General features: G+C 53.3%; 3 protein-coding genes across 13 annotated transcripts in view, besides 4 other annotated features; 2 read left to right on the forward strand and 1 right to left on the reverse strand.

Moving 5' to 3' along the window:
• Positions 1-5,040, forward strand: part of STKLD1 (serine/threonine kinase like domain containing 1) — a 29,731-nt gene extending 24,691 nt beyond the window's left edge. Inside the window, exons 13-18 of one of the 2 annotated variants that reach the window (NM_153710.5) lie at positions 682-822; positions 1,822-1,956; positions 2,644-2,772; positions 2,864-2,992; positions 3,733-3,873; positions 4,196-5,040. In NM_153710.5, coding sequence (NP_714921.4) covers positions 682-822; positions 1,822-1,956; positions 2,644-2,772; positions 2,864-2,992; positions 3,733-3,873; positions 4,196-4,365 — 845 coding nt within the window. In that variant the 3' untranslated portion in view covers positions 4,366-5,040. The remainder of the gene's footprint in view (positions 1-681; positions 823-1,821; positions 1,957-2,643; positions 2,773-2,863; positions 2,993-3,732; positions 3,874-4,195) is intronic. The other variant, NR_103997.2, reaches the window with a different exon arrangement.
• Positions 1,654-1,821: a silencer, noted in NCBI's record as "fragment chr9:136267839-136268006 (GRCh37/hg19 assembly coordinates)". NCBI's record gives its function as "represses an EF-1alpha promoter that drives an FKBP-Casp9 reporter gene in an ReSE screen in HepG2 liver carcinoma cells {active_cell/tissue: HepG2}" and the evidence as "EXISTENCE:reporter gene assay evidence [ECO:0000049][PMID:32094911]".
• Positions 3,562-4,062: an enhancer, noted in NCBI's record as "H3K4me1 hESC enhancer chr9:136269742-136270242 (GRCh37/hg19 assembly coordinates)". NCBI's record gives its function as "activates a minimal SCP1, AML or CMV promoter by ChIP-STARR-seq in primed H9 embryonic stem cells {active_cell/tissue: H9 hESC(primed)}" and the evidence as "EXISTENCE:reporter gene assay evidence [ECO:0000049][PMID:30033119]".
• Positions 5,002-17,116, reverse strand: REXO4 (REX4 homolog, 3'-5' exonuclease). 9 transcript variants are annotated; one of them, NM_001279351.1, is made up of 8 exons: positions 16,957-17,116; positions 13,609-13,955; positions 11,722-11,865; positions 11,243-11,436; positions 9,929-10,017; positions 7,712-7,786; positions 6,751-6,825; positions 5,002-6,016 (listed from the first exon to the last, which is right to left on the reverse strand). In NM_001279351.1, exons 2-8 carry the CDS (start codon positions 13,899-13,901, stop codon positions 5,897-5,899), a joined length of 990 nt encoding a protein of 329 aa, NP_001266280.1. In that variant the 5' UTR covers positions 13,902-13,955; positions 16,957-17,116; the 3' UTR covers positions 5,002-5,896. The 9 variants fall into 9 exon arrangements, 7 of the variants coding, with proteins under 7 accessions (NP_001266280.1, XP_024303380.1, XP_024303379.1 ...); XM_024447612.2 differs by lacking the exon at positions 16,957-17,116 and adding an exon at positions 15,563-16,954 and having other exon boundaries at positions 13,609-13,777; XM_024447611.2 differs by lacking the exon at positions 16,957-17,116 and adding an exon at positions 14,606-16,954 and having other exon boundaries at positions 13,609-13,777.
• The window catches only part of ADAMTS13 (ADAM metallopeptidase with thrombospondin type 1 motif 13), a 45,050-nt gene continuing 38,356 nt past the window's right edge, over positions 13,281-19,974 (forward strand). Inside the window, exon 1 of one of the 2 annotated variants that reach the window (NR_024514.3) lies at positions 13,281-13,588. The gene's annotated coding sequence lies outside the window, so the exon portion shown is untranslated. Of the gene's footprint in view, positions 13,589-17,023; positions 17,215-19,974 lie in introns of those variants that run through there. The other variant, XM_017014233.2, reaches the window with a different exon arrangement.
• Positions 16,699-16,938: a silencer, noted in NCBI's record as "silent region_20457". NCBI's record gives its function as "represses an Ori minimal core promoter by ATAC-STARR-seq in GM12878 lymphoblastoid cells {active_cell/tissue: GM12878}" and the evidence as "EXISTENCE:reporter gene assay evidence [ECO:0000049][PMID:35858748]".
• Positions 17,049-17,268: an enhancer, noted in NCBI's record as "active region_29238". NCBI's record gives its function as "activates an Ori minimal core promoter by ATAC-STARR-seq in GM12878 lymphoblastoid cells {active_cell/tissue: GM12878}" and the evidence as "EXISTENCE:reporter gene assay evidence [ECO:0000049][PMID:35858748]".

A 19,974-nucleotide genomic window follows, 5' to 3' on the forward strand; every position in this document is an offset into this window, starting at 1 on the left:
GATTGAGCCTCCTATGAGAGACATGGGTTGTTAAAAGAGTTGAATTAGCTTTGATGATTTTTTTTGAAACAAAAAGTATTTAGTTACTTTTTTTTTTTTTTTTGAGATGGAGTTTTGCTCGTCACCCAGGCGAGTGCAGTGGCGCACTCTCGGCTCAATGCAACCTCCACCTCCCAGGTTCAAGCGATTCTCCTGCCTCAGCCTCCTGAATAGCTGGGACTACAGGCACCCACCACCACGCCTGGCTAATTTTTGTATTTTTAGTAGAGACGGGTTTCACCATGTTAGTCAGGCTGGTCTTGAACTCCTGACATCGTGATCCACCCGCCTCAGCCTCCCAAAGTGCTGGGATTATAGGCATGAGCCACCGCGCGCGGCCACCTTTCTAGTTTCACTGTTGGAAGTTTGGAGTTCCATGCAATGTTGAAATTGTGTTCAGTGCTGCCTGACTGGCTCCCAGGGACCAGGATGCGTGGCCTGGCCGGGCAGGGCTCCCTTCCGGTCCTTCACTCCATTAGGCCACAGGGATTCATGGAGGCCTGCTCTGGGTCAGAACAAGGCAGACCTCGGTTTCCTTCATGCAAAGTGGAGATGCTATCCCCCAGCCTGTGAGCCTTGTGTGTCTGGCCCCATGCCTGAGCTGTGGGGCTAACCCCAGGCGTCTTCCTCTGGCTTGAGCAGCGCTGGTGCACCACCCGGAAGCCAAGGCTCCCTGCAACCAAGCCATCACCTCCACCCTGCTGAGTGCTCTTCAGAGCCACCCCGAGGAGGAGCCACTTCTTGTCATGGTCTACAGCCTGCTAGCCATCACCACAACCCAGGGTGTGTCTGCCAGCCACCTCCTGCCCCACCCACGCTCCAGGACAGCCCTTCCCAGGGGTCTTGGAAGGGTTGGTTTGGGGTATAGGTGGGTTGGACAGGACAGTGCTGGGCCTCCTCCTGAGATACATGGTGGCATTTGGCCGTCTTCATTTGGCCACCCCAAATGCTGGTCGCATCCTTTTCCATCTTGATGACAAGCTTCCACTCTTGAAGTCACTGGTTCCCTCTACAGACATGCTAGGCGCAGCTGTGGGCTTCACACCAATGACATCTCTTTCCCACACTTCCTGCCCCTTCTGGGAGGCTGGGGCTCAAATGCCCTGTGTGTCTCCATTCCATAGGGCCCAGTGGGCTTCCGAAGCCTCCAGCCAGGACTGTGGGAAGGAGAGGGCCATACAGAGCGCTCACACCTTCACCCACAAATCGGGTGGGCACTGTTCTCCCCAACAGGAAGCTGGGCCTCGAGAGAGCCTAAGGACAGTTGCCAGGAGTCCATGCAGCAGGGTTCAGGGCTGGGGTCTGGGCCCCAGCACCCTCTTTACTGCACAGACTGGATAACTGATGATACATGGCTGATCTCACTTTGGGGAGTGAAAGGAGGCACTAGGAATAGATGTCAACTGGAACCCTCAGGCAAAATGGATGTCAGTTCATCCTACCGGGATAGGGCCCCGTCATGGTTCCATCCTGGAAGGCACAGGCTGGCTCTGTGAGCCCAGGAGGCAGGGTCAGGCCCCCTGGATGGGAAGCTACAGAGGTCAGACCCAGCCTGGTAGTGGGATGGCAGCTATTGGGACTGGTGGCCCACGAGATGGACAGACTCCTCTGGGGCCAGTCCCACATCCTCCTGTTCAGGGCTCCATTGAGTGCACACGACTTGGCCCAGAGCAGGCACCTAGGATTGCAGGTCAAATGGGACTGCAGTGCCCAAGGACAACAGAGGCAGGAAGGCTTCCTGGAGGGAGGGGCCCTGGGGCCCTCATTCTGGCTCACCCACAGAGTCAGAGTCACTGTCAGAGGAGCTGCAGAATGCTGGGCTGCTGGAGCACATCCTGGAGCACCTCAACAGCTCCCTCGAAAGCAGGGACGTCTGCGCCAGCGGCCTGGGCCTGCTCTGGGCCCTCCTGCTGGACGGTGAGGGGCCCTCCTCCTGCTGTCCCACCGGGGCTGGCAGCCCTCCCCCAGCCCCTCCCTAACTGCCCCTGAGAGCCTTCGAGGACCTCCATGTCCTGTCCCTAAAACACAACAGCCATAGTCCGGGAAAGGCTCTTCTGAGAGCTTCCAACTCCAACAGAAGAAAATCAAGGAGCAGAGAGAGAAAAGGCAGGGGAGAAAGGCCTTCTGGCAGAGGCCGGGTTTCAGGACTTCTTGCCCAGTGGGCAGACCCCTCAGTTTTAAGTGCCTCCTGCCCAGGGAAATGTCCTGGGATTTTCCGGGCAGTCCTGGTTCCAGAGGGCAGCGGTGGTGTGGTGCTGGATGCCCTGTTTGTTTTGATTTTTGATTCACAGTAGGGGGCCCCCTGGCCTGTGCTGCTTCCTCTCCTCTAGACCCCATCTTGGCACTCCAGCGCCCCAGGAAAAAGAGAGCTCCAAACCACGGAAAGCCCGGGAAACCCAAGAACCCTGCCAGCACCCAAAGTGTGGGATTCTCCAAGCCTCTCCTGGGCTAACCCCTGCACCCGTCTCTGAGGACAGTTGACCTTTCCCACCCCATTTCTGCTGTTGTCGTTAGCTGGAGGAAGGCAGCAGATGGGGGATGGGAAGGCCCCCCTGCACACACCCAAGGCCTGGGTGTCCCCTTCCATCCCTGTCCTCGTTCCAGGTATCATTGTGAACAAGGCCCCCTTGGAGAAGGTCCCGGACCTCATCAGCCAGGTGTTGGCCACCTACCCTGCGGATGGGGAAATGGCAGAAGCCAGCTGCGGAGTCTTCTGGCTGCTGTCCCTGCTGGGTGAGCTGGGTGGGCGCCCTGGGCCCCTGGGGCTGGGAGGGGTGGGCCTCATGGCACAGCAGGCACAAGGCAGCCCGGCCCCTTTCTGCAGGCTGCATCAAGGAGCAGCAGTTTGAACAAGTGGTGGCGCTGCTCCTGCAAAGCATCCGGCTGTGCCAGGACAGAGCCCTGCTGGTGAACAATGCCTACCGGGGACTGGCCAGCCTGGTGAAGGTGTCAGGTGAGCCTGGGGACAGGACGAGGCTGCCACCTAGAGGTGGGGGCAAGAATCAGCCCCCATCAGTTACATCTGCCAGGTGCCACAAACCAAAAAACAGAAGCAACAAATCAAAAAGGAAAAGAAATTAAAAACGATCTGAAGTCCAGTCATCCAGAAATCACCATCAAGACTTTCACGCACACTTGATAAACTCTTGTCTCTGCGTTATGCTACCCTGTGACCCTCTCTCTGTCCATAAACACATCACATCTGCACAGGTTTCCTAACATGCAGGCACACCGTGACTGATCAAAACAGCTCTGCAAACAGTGTCTCCAATTCCCCACAACACAAACCCTGCCTGTTACTCAGCTAGACAGGCTGGGCCCAGCGCTGAGCACAGCACAACCGACGCTCGGCCCACAGCACAGTCCTTCAGAGAGCATCCTGGGCCTGGCCAAGACACTAGCTGGTGCCTGGCAACTCCGGGCTCATGGTCTTGACCTCTGTACTACCTAATCTTCCCCAGAGTGACAACGACCCCTTTGGCTCTGGGGGGGCTGCCTCCTCTGTTCTTGCATGGTCCTGTTCAGGTCATGCCAGCCTACTGGTCCGCCCAAGCTGATGGGGCCTCCTGGGTCCCGTCTCTTGTCCTGTCCCAGGCCCCTGTGTGAGCTCTGGGGTCCCATCCCGTCCTGGGCAGAAGGCTCTTCCCTTTCAGGGGAAAGCAGGGAATGAACCCACTCCCACCCATCCCCCAGAGCTGGCGGCCTTCAAGGTGGTGGTGCAGGAGGAGGGCGGCAGTGGCCTCAGCCTCATCAAGGAGACCTACCAGCTCCACAGGGACGACCCGGAGGTGGTGGAGAACGTGGGCATGCTGCTGGTCCACCTGGCTTCCTATGGTGAGAACCCCTTCTCACCTCACACTCCCTAGAGCCCAGCGGTCAGGGGTGCCCCGCTCCCCCTATAACTGACAGGGAAGGAGCACATGGAAGGTGGGCTCAACCCCACTTCTCGGCCCACTTAAACTTCCCACTCATTTGGCATCTTCTGAGCACCAGGGGTTGTCCTGGCTGAGGGTGACGCTTGGGGCTCCGGAACTGCAAGGTGGCTCTGTGCATGCCAAGCCCAAGGGGGAATGTGACCCACTCTCATCCTTCTGGGGCTTCTGGCAAGGGGCACAGGAAGGACTCTGGCCTCAGGACCTTCCTGCTCCACCTGCAGAGGAGATCCTGCCGGAGCTGGTGTCCAGTAGTATGAAGGCCCTGCTCCAGGAGATCAAGGAGCGCTTCACCTCCAGCCTGGTGAGTGACAGCAGCGCCTTCAGCAAACCAGGCCTCCCTCCAGGTGGAAGCCCCCAGCTGGGGTGCACCACGTCTGGGGGACTGGAATAGATGTTTGTATGGAACTGACCTTGATCTCCACGTGTATAGTTTTCAAGACTGCTCTCCTGCCTGCCTATTATCCCATCTCTATGACTGGGCCAAAATCAATCTTAAACGGGAGGGGTAATCAGACCTCTCCAAAGAGTTTCCTGTCCATGACTGCTGGATTGAGTCACATGAGTAACTGCTCCTGGACCCGGGGACTGTCCACGAAAACTGACTTGCCTGCTTCCTCCTTCCAGGAACTGGTTTCTTGCGCGGAAAAAGTGCTCTTGAGGCTGGAGGCAGCCACCTCTCCCAGCCCACTGGGTGGGGAAGCAGCTCAGCCCTGATGCGGGGGAGAAGACAGATACCCCACAGGCCCCTCCCTCCACGTGTGCCCTCTCCCTGTCCTTCCTTTCCATGGGCCACTGTTTCCCTTGGGGTGGGGGGAAGGGTCATCCAGCACCAGAATGCGCATCTCACACTCCTCTTAGGTGACTAATAAAGAGGCCCAAGGCCAGTTTCTGCCTTAATCATTTCTGGCAAGAGGCTGTGACTGGCCAGTGGGATACTTAATTCTGCAGTCTCTATAGACCTCGCCCCTGGACAGAGCAGTCCTTCCAGACCATTCTAGATGAGAGTCAACACTGAGCCTCCACAGGCTCCATTCCAAGTAAACATCTGCATTTATTTTAAATCGCATCCTCGGTGTGTCTGCCCCTTTTCTGTCCAGCTGTCAGGTGGCCCAATAACGCCTTGGACTCCGTCCCCTTGTCAGTGCCACTGGCTGTTCCTGGCTCTAGTTCCCAGGGGAGCCTCAAACTGGGGCCTAGCCCAGAAAGCCACCGGCTAGCATCACATAGCTTCTCCAGCTCAAATAGCCCAAGGTTGGCATGTCTGCCGACCTCCAGGAATAACCGCAGTCACCGTGCCCAGGCAACACATCCTCGTGCTATGGGGAGAAGCCTCTGCTGGGTGACCCACCAGCCAACCCTGGGCCAATTTAATTTAGATAAATGCTCAAAGTTCAAACGGCCACAGGAAACCCCTGATGTAACACCTGTTGTGCCGGCCAGCTGTGTCTCAGGAGCTGACTGCAGACACCTGGTCTGGGTCCCTCAAGCCCAGCAGAGCTTGTTATGTCCCCTAACACAAAGGAGGAAAATGTGGCTCCTCGAGAGGAAGGTGCTGAGCACCTCACCCCAGGGTGTCACCGAAGATGGGCAGTGACAGCACCGTATGGACTGGCGGCCCACAGGCCCCAACCTCACCTGGCCCAGGGGGTCAGCAGTCGGTAAAGCGTGGCCAGGCGTGCCCATGGCCGTCCCTGCTCCCCACCCTGACCATCCGGGCCCAAACACACATGGACAGTAAGACCAGGTTTCAGACCACAAAGTCAAGAGGAAGGAGGACCTTCTCAGTAGCACCACGCCACGCCCCTCTGCCATGATTCTGAAAAGGTTTCACCAGAGTTGCCACTCTGGGGAGATGTGATCTGTCCCTGTGACTGGTCACATTGCCTCTGTAGCGGGGCGGCAGCAGCAGCAGGGCAGGACTGCTAGGCGTCGTCACTGCAGTGGTCTGGAGCAGTCAGCAGGGGGCGCCTGTCTCGGGCCATGCTCTCCCACTCCTTCTTCACCATGACGTACAGCCTCATTGCTGCCTGGGCATCCTGAATCTAGACGACATGAAACATCCCAGCAGGTGACGAGGCATAGCCGCAGCCCACAGTCAACCCCACAATGACTGAGCCCTCCCACTAGCCACTCTGCTACAGATGTACTGAGTGAGACATGGACCTGGCCACGAGATGTCACCAGGACGGGGAGGGAGGACACAAGAGAAGCAGAGGGAGCAACGACCTGATGGTCCCCACACTTCTGTGACTCAGACACCCCTCCCAGGAGAAGAAAGGGAAACCCAAAGAGGAGAAGCAACAAACACGCTGCCTTTTTAGGTCTCTGAGTGCAGGGTGATGGCAGGTTGGGTGCTGGGCACAGGGGCACAAGGACCAAGCAGATGGGCAAAAAGGGCCCAAAGCACTGAGGCCACGTTGGCAGGGGGTGACTGCTCCACAGAGGCAGAGCCAGCTGCTCAGCAGGGCCGGGCAGGGCAGGGCTGGAGGGCTGCGGGGGTGGGGGGACCCTTTGTAATTATTTGGCAACTTTTTCTCCAAATAACGAGAATGCAGTACTTTTGTGTTAAGTGTTAAATTCGTTAAATGTGCATATTTAGAATTTAACCAAAATTCCGTAACTCCGCTCTACCATTTTTTTTTTTTGACCAATAGCCTCGTAGGATAAGTAGGTGCCCAAGCCCCACCTCCCCCATGTCTGTGTCAGGTGACTCATGTCTGGTTCCAGGTGGGAAACCGCCCCAAACCCCATGAACTACCCCACAGGACACACTTACTGAACAGTGCTCCGCCTGCTGGACCTGGAGCCCAAGGATCTTCTCTGAAAGTAGTCTCAGAGACGGCCTTCCACTCTGCAAAGGGGGAAGAGGCGGGTGGGGGCCTCTGCAGGCTCGGCCCAAAGAGGGTCACCCCACCAAGCAGGGAGCGGTTGGCTACTGAACCTCACCCAAGCGACCTACAGTTTGCCTCTCAGTGGAGAGGTGCTCATGGCACTTAGGGTGGTAGCCACCAGCTGCCATTTATAGCATGATGGGCTGGTGATACACCCCTATCAGCCAATAAAAGGAGAGGGCCAGGGGAGGAGTCAGCATCCCCATCTCCCATCTTGAGGCCTCCCTGCTTATTTCAAGAGGGACAGCTCTGGCCAGGCATGGTGGTTCACACCTGTAATCTCAGCACTTAGGAGGCCAACGAGGGCAGATCACTTGAACCCAGGAGTTTGAGAATAGCCAGGGCAACACAGCAAGACCCTATCTCTAAAAAAATAAAAATAAAAAAATTAGCCAGGGGTGGTGGCATATGCCTGCAGTCCCAGCTACTTCAGAGGCTAAGGTGGAAGGATTGCCTGAGCCTGGGAGGTGGCAGTTACAGTGAGCCAAGATTATGCCATTGCACTCCAGCCTGGGTGACAGAGCAAGACCCTGTCTAAAAAAAAAAAAAAGGATGAAGAACGGCTCTGCCCTTGGCACCCTCTAGAGCAGATACGACAGTGGTACCAGGCCCTTAGTCAGTGACCCTGTTTCAGAGGTTAGAGTGGAAATAACTTGCCCTCCGTTGCAATCATTTTTAAGGTCAGCAATTAGCAGAACTCTATTTTTAAACATTCCTTCTAGTTTTAAAGGTTAAAAGAAAAAACAAAAACCCTTTAACCAACAAGTCAGCCACCAGTGACCAGAAACAATGAAGTGACCAGCAAAACAGAAATACAGTATCTTGAGTCACACTCATTCTAAGTACCTTTACTTGACTCTTGAAAGGTTTATATTTCTGTGTGTCCCGAATCTTCTTTTTTGGATGATCAAGAAATAGTACCTAGAAAAATAAAATATAATGATAATCATTTTCATTTTTGGTTTGTAGTAGCAGAACCCCCTCCCCCCGCCACCTTTTGCAAGTAACATCTTTGTGTGTGTGTGTGTGTGTGTGTGTGTGTGTGTGTGTGTGTGTGTGTGTGTGACGGAGTCTTGCTCTGTCACCCAGGCTGGAATGCAGTGGCTCAATCTTTGCTGACTGCAACCTCCGACCCCAGGTTTCAAGTGATTCTCCTGCCTCAGCCTCCCGAGTAGCTGGGATTACAAGTGCCCGCCACCATGCCTGGCTAATTTTTGTATTTTTTAGTAGAGACAGGGTTTTGCCATGTTGGCCAGGCTGGTCTCGAACTCCTGACCTCAGGTGATCCACCCGCCTCGGCCTCCCAAAGTGCTGGGATTACAGGTGTGAGCCAACGCGGCTGCCCTGCAAGTAACATCTTGTAGGGAATCCAAGTGTGTCACACACACATGGAAACAAGGCACTGATATGAATTTCAACTCCAGAAGGAAATTTATTGCACTGACTTAAGCTGATGCCCAACAGTCAGAGACAATAAAAACAAAATCTTGAAATCAAGGAAGTAGGAGAAAAACAGTCAACAGTTAACCAGCAACCAACTTATTCCTATATTATACTTGTATTTTGAGTTGGTTCTACACATCAGGAAGTTGCAAATAACACATTTTAACAGCTCATCTTGCAATCTTAGCATGCAATTTTTTGTTTTGTTTTGTTTTTTGATAGGATCTCACTCTGTCACCTGGGCTGCAGTGCTATAGGGTAATCATGGCTCACTGCAGCCTTAACCTCCTGGGCTCAACTGATCCTCCTACCCCAGTCTCCTGAGTAGCTGGGACAACAGGCACACGCCACCACACCTGGCTAATTTTAAAATTTTTTATAGAGATGGGGTCTCCCCTATGTTACTCAGGCTGGTCTCTAACTCCCGGCCTCAAGCAATCCTCCAGCCTCAGCCTCCCAAAAAGCTGCGATTACAGGCATAAGCCACTGTGTCTGGTCCTTAGCATCATCTTCAAGAAAGACTTGAACATGTGCTGCGCAAGGTGCCAGGGATGGAGTCAGAGTCAGGAGGGAAGGACGAGTCCCCACGGCAGCAGTCTCTGAGGGGGTACAGCAGGAGCACACAGAAGACCTTTCTGTGAGGACACTGCCCGGGGGGTTCTCACCTCAGTTTCACCCTCTGTAAACAAGCATGAACACCTCCAGCATCTTCAATGGATTCAAGGGATCTCTACAGTGCCGTCACGGGAGCACCATAGCAAAGGCTGCTGCCTGAACATTAGCATCTCTGTCACTTCCTTCTGAACGGCTTCAAGTTCCTCACCACACCCAAGTGCTTCAAGCCGGTGGGCAGAGGTGACAACTTAAGTGTCTCTCCCATCTAGCAGACTGGCCTCCCCGCTGTTCCCACTGTGTCCTTTAAACCAACATCCAGGCATTTGCCCATAAACTCAAAGTGACCCCCACCCTGTTCTCCTGTAAATACACACGTACTCGCTCTGCCTGACTCTTCATTCCTGCCTCGGGTGACCAGGAGATGGCAGGCTGCCCTCCCCACCCATGACGCCTTCCCTGCCCAGGGTCTGTATATGTCTTTGAACTTGTTTCCCACGGTGGTGGTGTCTGAATTTGCACTTTCCATCTGAAGAACCAGGGGCTGCCCCAGGCGGGATTTTCCTCGGGACGCCAGAAAGAAGGCAAAGGCAAGCTCCCAGGGCCAGGGTGATGGTTAGGCAAGCGTAACCTGAACATGGGCCACAGGGCATCTGCCAGGATAAACTTGTTTCCTGTGGAGGGACCCTGGTCACGGATGGGACAACTGGACATTAGGCCTTCCTCCAGGTAAAAGGGGTATCAGCACCTTCATTTCTCATTAGGGCGGGGTTGCCAGCTGCTCTGGTATGGGTACCCCAGTTTCGCTGGGGGCTCTCAAAACAAGAGCCTGGCATGGCTCCTAAAACACAGTAAGAACTCAGCACGCGGTATCTGATATTATTACCAAAGTATTCCCAACATAGAGCACAAACCCACACATTGTTAAAACTCCCCAACACAGCAAGGGCGTGAGTGTAACACCCACGGAGCAGGGGCAGGCTGAGTCCCCAGGAGAGAGCCCAGTACCTTTAGGTCATTATGCAGAGCGTGCCCCACTAGAATTCTGCCCTTCAGCATCTCTGCCACTTCCTTCTGAACAACTTCAAGCTCTTCTCCTGGAAAATCAACACAAAGAAGCGGTTTTTTGCAACACACACATCACCATCATTCTGTGAGGAGGCAGCCCCGCTCCTACCCCTGGTCAGACCTAAGACAAATGGTCAGGCCTGCAATGCCACTACGGAGGGTGACTCGAAGCCACCACATCCACCCACCCCCCTGGGAGAAGTGCCTTGTGGGCCCCTGGCAGGGGTGGCTGCGAGAACCACCTCTGAGGAGAGGAATAAAGTGCTCCACACAGTCTGCAAAGTCGGCTCATGGCTGGAGGAGAGCATATGTTGAGTGTAGGCACTGAGAAACTTTTAGAGCCGCCTGGCAGCGTGGTTCTGCCTATTCAACCTCATGATTTACTTGACAATTTCCCAAATGGAAATAAAAACAAAACTGCCCCCACAAAAATGGGTAGAGATGTGTTGCCCTAGGCCCTGGGCTCCAGAGGCAGCCTTGCCTGCTTCTGGGGACCACCCCACCACCAACCCCACTTGTACCCCCCGAACAGGGGTGATTAGACCAAGGGTGGCCCGAGCCAAGTGGGACCAGCTAATTTTTTAAAAATATTTTTTAGAAGGCCAGGTGCAGTGGGTCATGCCTGTAATTCCAGCACTTTGGGAGGCGGAGGCAGGCGGATCACCTGAGTTCGGGAGTTCAAGACCAGCCTGACCAATGTGGAGAAACCCTGTCTCTACTTAAAATACAAAATTAGTCGGGTGTGGTGGCATATGCCTGTAATCCCAGCTACTCGGGAGGCTGAGGCAGGAGAATCGCTTGAACCCAGGAGGCGGAGGTTGCAGTGAGCCCAGATTGTGCCATTGCACTTCAGCCTGGGCAACAAGAGCAAAACTCCATCTCAAAAAAAAATAATAATTTTTTTTAGAAATGAGGTCTCGCTATGTTGTCCAGGCTGGACTTGAACTCCTGGGTTCAAGCAATCCTCCCTCCTCAGCCTCCTGAGTAGCTGGGACTACAGGCATGAGCCACCGTGCCCAGCTACTGGCCTGGTCTTGAAGTCAGCGGACAGGAGGCAATGAAGTGCAAGGCATAAATGGGTGTAAAGCCGTCTAAGGATGCCTTTTGTATTTTAAAACCCATCGCCCCAAAAGGAGACAAGACGCATCAAAACCAGCTGCAGTGAGTGGTCTCAGACAGAAAAGGGAACAAAAGGGAGAAAACGAATCCAGTTACTACTTTCCCTTCTAAGTTCCTGAGCTGTGGATGACATACCCTGCTTGAGGTTCTCAGGCCGAATCCCACTGACCGCTGTCCTATAGTCCGTCACGGGCTCGGTTGGTTTGACGTACTTGTCATAAACGCACTTCCCATACTGGTTCACGATGGACACACGGGCGGCCATGCTCTCCTCCCCCTTAGGGCCCACGCCCACCATCTCACAGTCCAAGGCTAAGGCTCTTGTCAGGCTGAAGGGTAACCAAAGGCTGTAGTTTAATAAACACGGCAGGCCACAGGGCTCCAGGTCAGAGCCCCAGGGATCCATGGACTAAGTGTCAGCAGAGAAAAGCTCTCTGCCCCTCACTCATTTGCACCCACGTGACAAGCTCTGTGTGGTCCTGGTTCTTAGCAGGACCCTGGGAGGTGCTTGCCTCATTCACCTCAGGGAGAGGAAAGCATCCTCTTCCTTGAAGAAGCCCCGCCCTCCACGGCTAAGCATCCCCAGCAGACCCCACTCCCTGAGACCAGCGTACCCGCCGAAGGCCTGCTCTTTCACGAGGCTGAGGCTGACGCTGCCCTCGCTCTGACCCAACTGTTTCCTCGCTATCTTGGCCGCCTCTGGACCTATGGCAGCTTCGATATCCGCTGGGTCCACGTCGTCAAACCAGATGTCTTCCCTAAAAGGCAAAGATAACAGGCTGATCACCAGAAGACCCTAGTGCAACTGGTGGGGTGGGGCTGTGGGGCTGACTGTGCAGGTGAGTGGAGCGATGGCACAGCCTGCCTCTCCCACAGGCTGGCCCCAGACACCCCGACTGCTGGCCCTGCTGCTTCTGCTATTTTGATCATCTTGGCATTTTCCTTTTTTTTTTGAGATGGAGTCTCACTGGGTCACCCAACCTGGAGTGCAGTGGCATGATCTTGGCTCACTGCAACCTTTGCCTCCCAGGTTCAAGTGATTCTCTTGTCTCAGCCTCCCTAGTAGCTGGGATTTTACAGGCGCCCACTGCCACGCCTGGCTAATTTTTTGTATTTTCAGTAGATACGGGGTTTCGTCATGTTGGCCAGGCTGGTCTTGAACTCCTGACCTCAAGTGATCCACCTGCCTCGGCCTCCCAAAGAGCTGGGATTACAGGTGTGAGTCACAGCACCTGGCCTCATCTCTTTTCTTTTTAATTAGAAAATACACTCATTATTCAAGATTTAGGAACACAGACAAACACAAAGAATATAAAACAGAAACACATAACCCACCACCCAAGTGTAATGAGTGCTAACATTTTAATTATGAAGGTAACACGTTCATTATTGAACACTTAGGAAACAGACAGACAGAATGCCTGTAAGATGGAAACACAGAACCCCTTGCCCTCCGTACTAGGAAGCTCACACAGGCACGTAACACCTGCCTGGGGAATCTGTCTCTTGGGCTAAGGTTAAATGTCATTTCCTTAGAAAAGCCATTCCTGGCCCCACTGAATGGACACGTCCCTCTTGTTCCAGGCGCCCAATACCTTCTCCTCACTAGATTTATCCTGACCACACTTAATCAACAGCTGCAGTTTACAGTCTGTCTACTGCACTTGACAATAAGCCTCAAGAGGGAGGAGCAGGCCCACCTCACTGAACTCTATCCCAGACAGCCTGCCTAGCACAACACAGGGAGGCCCCCAAATGGCTCATTCCTCAGCCATCAGCGACTGTGTCCTGAACACCCAGGCAACATGAAGCCAGCTGTAACTTATGAACACGTCACCTCCAGCTGAACCATTCAGAGAAGGCCACTGACTCCCGGTCCACCCCACGTGGGTGGCCAGCACAGGGTTTATTCTTTTCACTTGTTTTTTTGAGAGTCTTGCTCCGTCACCCAGGCTGGAGGCAGTAGTGCAATCACAGCTCACTGCAGCCTCAACCTCCTGGGATCAAGTGATCCTCCCACCTTGGCCTCCCAAGGAGCTGGGATCACAGGCAACAGCCACCACACCTGGCTCCATCACAGGGTTGAAGTAATCACCAGGCACTGAGCCAAGAGTGCCAACCTCACAATCTCCTTATGATGCCACCATGACTACCACAAGGCACAGAGGACGTCAGAAACTTGCCCCAAACCACCCAACTGGCGAGAAGCAGGGACAGGCCTCATACTTGGGTCTTTCTGGCTTCAGCACGCTTTCCTTCCACACACGTGTACTGGCACCCACTAAATGCTGAGCTCTGCTCAACGCTCGGAAGAAGCAGGCCCTGCCTTATCATGCGCACACTCTAGGGGAAAACAAGTAACAGCGAGTAAACAAAGGAACAGACGACATCAGGGTAAAGTGATGGAGAGACTGCGGTGAGGCCACCAGCCTCCATAAGGAGACAGGCCTTGGTGAAGTCGCTGTGCCTCGGTTCTCAGTGGTGAGGTGGCCCATACTTACTCGGTGGGTGGGGCTGGGGCTGCCTCCTTAGCTTTCCGCTTCTTATGCTCGATGTCCCCTCGTTCTGGAACAATATCACCATTTGTCCTTTCCTTGGTTCCTTTCTTATTGTGCTCTGTTCCACTGGCCTTGGTGCGAGGTACTGGCGCCCTCCTGTCCATCTTGGAACCTGAAGGAACAGAGCCCCTGCTGGCCTCCTGGTCTTTTCCTGCCGGCATCTCCTCTCCCTTCACTTGAGGCGAGGTCTCTTTTTTGTTTTGCTGGATAATTTTGGGCTTCTTTTTGGAACCCATCTGAGAGATGACAAGAGGCTTTTCTGGGGCCTGAGATTTTTGTTTCAGCAGCCACTGGGACCCAAAATAAAATACATGCTGCATTTGAATTTGGAAATTACACACAGCAGATTGAAAAAACTTACGTGTGTATGTATATACACACATATACACCAAACACATCTATACAATTCCCATCCGCATCACTGAAATTCATTTTCAAACGGTTTGGAAAAAGCTCTTTTTCATTCTCATGGGTCACTTGTGGTGAAATGCTGTTTCTTTGCTTATCTTATTATAATGCATTTTGCACCTGCTCCTTCATGCATACAAAATGTCAAACTCATTCTACACCTTGGGTACCTGTTGAGTGGCTGGACACCACAGACCACTTCCCTTTTCAGCTTATCTAGAAAGAATTTTGGAGTTAACTTCCCTCACAGCTTGGGCCAACATCCTGCTACACAGAAATCGCTTTTTTTTTTTTTACAAGATTCCCTGGTTTGCTACTGCTGTGAAGATCTCAGGAAGGTGGGGGGTGTCATAAATGAAAAGAAAAGCTTCTGTCAAACTGGAGTGGCTGAAGAACTGCTAGCAGCCACACACCTTGGCTGTCACCCAAGCAGAGGCTCCTGTAGTCTTAGAGCCCAGCTTCCTCCCTGTGTTCAAATCCCCAGTGGGAGTGGGCGCCACCACAGTGCGATGATGAGGCGGGTGCTACTTACCTGTTCTGTGATAGGTAAAGAACTGAAGGGCTGACTTTCTTGGATGAATTAGAAAACACTCCAAAGTTTCCCTATAGCACACATCCCTTCCATTCACTTATTTTGCTTTTCTTTCTTGGGAGAAGGAAGAAGAGTTGGTGTTCAAGAAATCCCACAGAACCCTGGGGCTGCCCACGGGAATTTGACTGGTCCTGTGTGTTAAGACAGGAATGTCTGCACTGAGATACTGTGCAGAGTATTAGGAGGTTCAAGAAGCGCTCGGGGAGGCTGAGGTGGGAGGATTGCTTGAGGTCAGGAGTTGAAGACCAGCCTGGGCAACAAAGTGAAACCCCATCTGTATTAGTTCATTGTGCACTGCTATAAAGGAATACCTGTGTTTGGTAATTTATAAAGAAAAAACGTTTATGTAGCTCATGGTTTTGCAGGTTGTACAAGAAGCATGGTGCCAGCATCTGCTTCTGGTGAGGCCGAAGGAAGCTTCCCATCATGGTGTAAGGTGAAGGGGGAGCAGGTGTGTTGCGTGGTGAGAGAGCAAGCAAAAAAGGTGCTAGGCTCTTTTTAAACAACCAGCTCTCAAATGAACCAGCAGAGTGAGAACTTACTCGTTACTGAGGGGAGGGCACCAAGTCATTCATGAGGGATCTACCCCCATGACCCAATACCTCCTATGGGCCCCATCTCCACCACTGGGGATCACATTTCTTTTTTAAAAAAACTACTTTTTACTTTTATTTAGAGATGGAATCTCACCATGTTGCCCAGGCTGGACTTGAACTCCTGAGCTCAAGTGATCCTCCTGCCTGGGCCTCCCAAAGTGCTGGGATTACACGTGTGGGCTACTCGGGAGGCTGAGGCAGGAGAATCACTGGAGCCCAGGCAGCAGTGAGCTATGATCCTAACAGGAGGTAGCTCCAAGGGAGCTCCAAGGGATGTGGTAAGAATGTATGAGTGACGCACGTGGAAGAGTGTCTAGGAGAGAGCAGGCAACCTCTACAGAAGTGCAGGTCACTAGGGAGACAGCAGGTACAACACAGCCTTAAAAGCATGGACTCCAGAGTCAGCCACCTGGTTCCCAGCCGCAATCTTAGATGATCTATTTAAACTTTTCCAGCCTATTTCCTCATCTGTACAATAGCGATGATGGAAGTGTCCACCTCACAGTCTTATTGTGGGGATTGCAACACGCATGGCATAGAGCACATGGCAGAGTGCACATTTTTAGGAGCTCAATTAGTATTTACTTCAAGACCGTAAGTGTCGCTAGAACCCCATCACATGTCTGCTATCTGCTTTTCACTTCTACACAGGAATCTTCTTTCTCCCTGTCTTGCTACACAGACCAGTGTGTTCTTTCGTTGTTGTTGTTTGAGATGGAGTCTCGCTCTGTCGCCCAGGCTGGAGTGCAGTGGCGCGATTTCGGCTTACTACTGCCTCTGCCTCCCGGGTTCAAGCGATTCTTCTGCCTCAGGCTCCCCGAGTAGCTGCGACTACCGGCGCGCGCCATCACGCCCGGCTAATATTTTTTGTACTTTTTTAGTAGACACGGGGTTTCACCATGTTGGCCGGGCTGGTCTTGAACTCTTGACCTCAGGGGATCTGCCCGCCTCGGCCTCCCAAAGTGCTGGGATCACAGGCGTGAGGCCCCGCGCCCGGCCTGGTTTCGGGATTTTAAGCTAAATTTCTCTTTGTAAAATCCATTCTAGTTAGTTCATTATGCAAAAGGTACAAGGGTTTATCTTTGCTTTTTTGTACTTGAAATAATTCTTTCATCAATTTCTTTCAAGCAAACAAGTTCGAGACCTCCCTCAACAGGCCACCTTTCTTGTGAAAAGCTGTTTACAAGATTTCGATTCAAATCTGCCTTTACAGGTCTTTTGGGGCTACCCAAGTCTTTCCCTCCGTCGCGTTCTGCGGGAATGAGCTGCGCAGCGCTCCGCCCGGGCCCCCTCAAGCCTCACCTCTTGCAGCGCCTTCCAGTTTTGAGAAAAGTCTTCTGGTGCCTTTGGAGGTCGCACCACAGCACCGGGGCCGCTTGCTGGCTTCTTGCTTACTTCCCGCGCCTTGCTTTTCCAAAACCTTTTTTTCTTCTTGTTTTTCTTCCGAGTGAGCGTCTTGACAGGACCCGGCTTAGCCACGGGGCTGCTCGGGGCGCGCTTGGAGGCGGGGACCTTCGCCTTCCCCATCCTGCTGCCGTCCAGCGCCTGGGCCGGCGGCCACCCGAGACCCCGGCCTCCCCGGGCCCGGCGCCCTGGCAGCACAAGCGCCTGCCCAGGCCAGGCCGAAACACACCCACCGCAGGGACCCCGTCCAGGAAAAGACTCCGGAAGAGACCCCGCACGCGTTGCGCATACCTCAGCACGCACGCTCCAGTCCCCGGAAGCGCTCGTCTCTCCACAACCGGCTGGAAACCGGATCCCTGCCTCTGGTTCCGCGCAGCCTGGGCGGTTCACCCGCACGGGACTTGGGCCGCCGCCTTAGCCAGCGGCATCCGGGGTCATCGACCTCGAGTTTGACTGGGGCAAGCCGAGGACCTCCCCAAGATCCGGGATGGGGATGAGAGATGCGAACGCCGGAAGGGAACTGGGGGGCCGCTGTGTGTGTAGCACCTGGTAGGGCAGCTGAGCTGGGGGCACTGGGCGGTGGGGCTAGTGAGAGCCGGGCTAGGTCGCTCGCCTGCGTCCTGGACTCTCGAGCCTTTCCCGCCTTGGGCTGCTCCTTGCTCAGCCTCACAGCGGCTCATCTTCCACGTACAGTGGGGAAACTGAGGCCCAGGCACCGGGAGGAGTTCCTGCCAGTTCACTCTGTAGCAGGACGAGCCGCAGACAAGAACCCCTCAGACACCGAATTGTAGAAGGAAAGGGCTTTATTTAGTGGGGAGCATCGGCAGACTCACGTCTCCAAAAACCGAGCTCTCTGAGTGAGCAATTCCTGTCCCTTTTAAGGGCTTACAACCCTAAGGGGGTCTGTGTGAGAGGGTCGTGATCGATTGAGCAAGCAGGGGGTACGTGACTGGGGGCTGCATGCACCGGTAATCAGAACGCAACAGAACAGGACAGGGATTTTCACAATGCTTTTCCATACAATGTCTGAAATCTATAGATAACATAACCGGTTAGGTCAAGGATTGATCTTTAACCAGGCCCAGGGCGCGGCGCCGGGCTGTCTGCCTGTGGATTTTATTTCTGCCTTTTAGTTTTTACTTCTTTATTTGGAAGCAGAAATTGGGCATAAGACAATATGAGGGGTGGTCTCCTCCCTTACTTCTGCCGCCTGGGTTCAAGCGATTCTCCTGCCTCAGCCTCCTGAGTAGCTGGGACTATAGGTGCACGCCACCACTCTCTGCCAATTTTTGTATTTTTAGTAGACCTGGGGTTTCGCCACGTTGGCCAGGCTGTCTTGAACTCCTGACCTCCAGTGATCCATCCGCCTCGGCCTCCCAAAGCGCTGGGATTACAGGTGTGAGCCACCGTGCCCGGCCGGGAGTGGGTAGATTTGATGTGCGTGTGTAACAGGCAGAGGTTGATGGAGTAACAGGGAAGTGAGGCTCCTAGGATTTTGGTCTGAGCAATTGGGTGTGGCCATTTATCATCTCAATAAATGTCTGCGGGGAGCAGGGTGAAGTATGGGGGTGGAGCCATGAGCTCCTTTTCACACTTGCTGAGTTTGAACGGGCCGTCAGTCACCAAGGAGAGACGTCTAATCAGCAGCAGGATATAAGATTCCTAAGCTTAGGGAAGGGTCAGTGCTGGAGATGTAATTTGGAAATCGTCAGCACATAATTAGTGTTGAAACATGAACCTGGGTTAGTTCATCCAAAGAGAGAGTACCAATATAGGGAGTGAAGGGTTAAGACCAGATAGCAGGTGCTGGGGGCTCTCCAGGGGCGAAGCAGCAGAGGAGGCTGAGGGGGAGCAGTCAGTGCAGTGGGAGGAGAAGCGGATGTGAGTGGCATCAGAGAATCCAGGGGGAGAATAAACCACATCAGATGCTGCTGAGAGGCTGAGAAGGACGAGGACAGAGAGATGGGAACCAGATATGGCACTGAGATTGTCAGCAAGTCCACCGAAAAGGGTTTTCTTTTTTTTTGTTTGTTTTGAGACGGAGTCTTGCTCTGCTGCCCAGGCTGGAGTGCAGTGGCGTGATATCGGCTCACCACAATCTCCACCTCCCGGGTTCAAGCGATTCTCCTGCCTCAGCCTCCTGGGTAGCTGGAACTACAGGTGCACGCCACCATGCCCAGCTAATTTTTTTTTTTTTTTTGAGACGAAGTTATGCTCTTGTCGCCCAGGCTGGAGTGCAATGGCGCAATCTCGGCTCACCGCAACCTCCACCTCCCGGGTTCAAGTGATTCTTCTGCCTCAGCCTCCCGAGTAGCTGGGATTACAGGCATGTGCCACCACGCCCGGCTAATTTTGTACTTTTAGTAGAGATGGGGTTTCTCCATGTTGGCCAGGCTGGTATGGATCTCCAGACATCAGGTGATCCTCTCGCCTCAGCCTCCCAAAGTGTTGGGATTACAGGCGTGAGCCACCGCACCTAGCCTAATTTTTGTATTTTTGAAAAGAGACGGGGTTTCACTATGCTGGCCAGGCTGATCTCGAACTCCTGACCTCATGATCCGCGTGCCTCGTGATCCACCTGCCTCGGCCTCCCAAAGTGCTGGGATTAAAGGCGTGAGCCACCACACCTGGCCCAGGTTTTCTTTTTAAAAAAGGAAAAAAACTTTGTTCCAGCAGTTTGTAAACCAGGGCAATGCAGCCTTCTGTACAAAGGTGCATTCCAGGGAACAAAGAGAACAAAGAAAGAGGTCGTCTTTTGTAGAGAACTTCCTGCCCAGGTTCCCACTTTGGTCCACTTATGCAAATGAGGAAGGCACACTTGCTTAGTTCTGATTGGTTAATACTTGCTGAGTTCAGATTGGTCGATGCAGGTCACAGTCGATGGGTTGATTCTGGCGGCATAAACAGGAACAGATAGCTGTGAAACCATCCCAGAGTTAAGTGAGAGTGGGGGCTTTCCAGGAACGCAGAATGTGTGTGTGACCCTAGTCAGCAAATGGCTGCTAGGTCCTACTTTGAATTTAGGCCCAGTTAGTAACTTGGGATCCATCAAGAAGGATTGGCTCTTTCAGGGTTCACAAAGTTATTGGTGACCTTTTAAAGATCAATTTCAATGGTATGTGGGAATTGAAGGCAAGGAAGTGGAGATAGCCACTGAAAATAATGTTTCTAAGTTCTTAAAGACAGCCAGAAACAGGGCTATGGCAGGAGGACAGTGTGGGTCAAGGGAAGGTTGTTGATTGTAATCAAGAGACACCAGAGTGTCTGGGCTTGGTGGCTCATGCCTGTAATCCCAGCACTTTGGGAGGC

Source organism: Homo sapiens, chromosome 9, assembly GCF_000001405.40.
Source record: "Homo sapiens chromosome 9, GRCh38.p14 Primary Assembly".
Classification (NCBI taxonomy): Eukaryota; Metazoa; Chordata; class Mammalia; order Primates; family Hominidae; genus Homo; species Homo sapiens.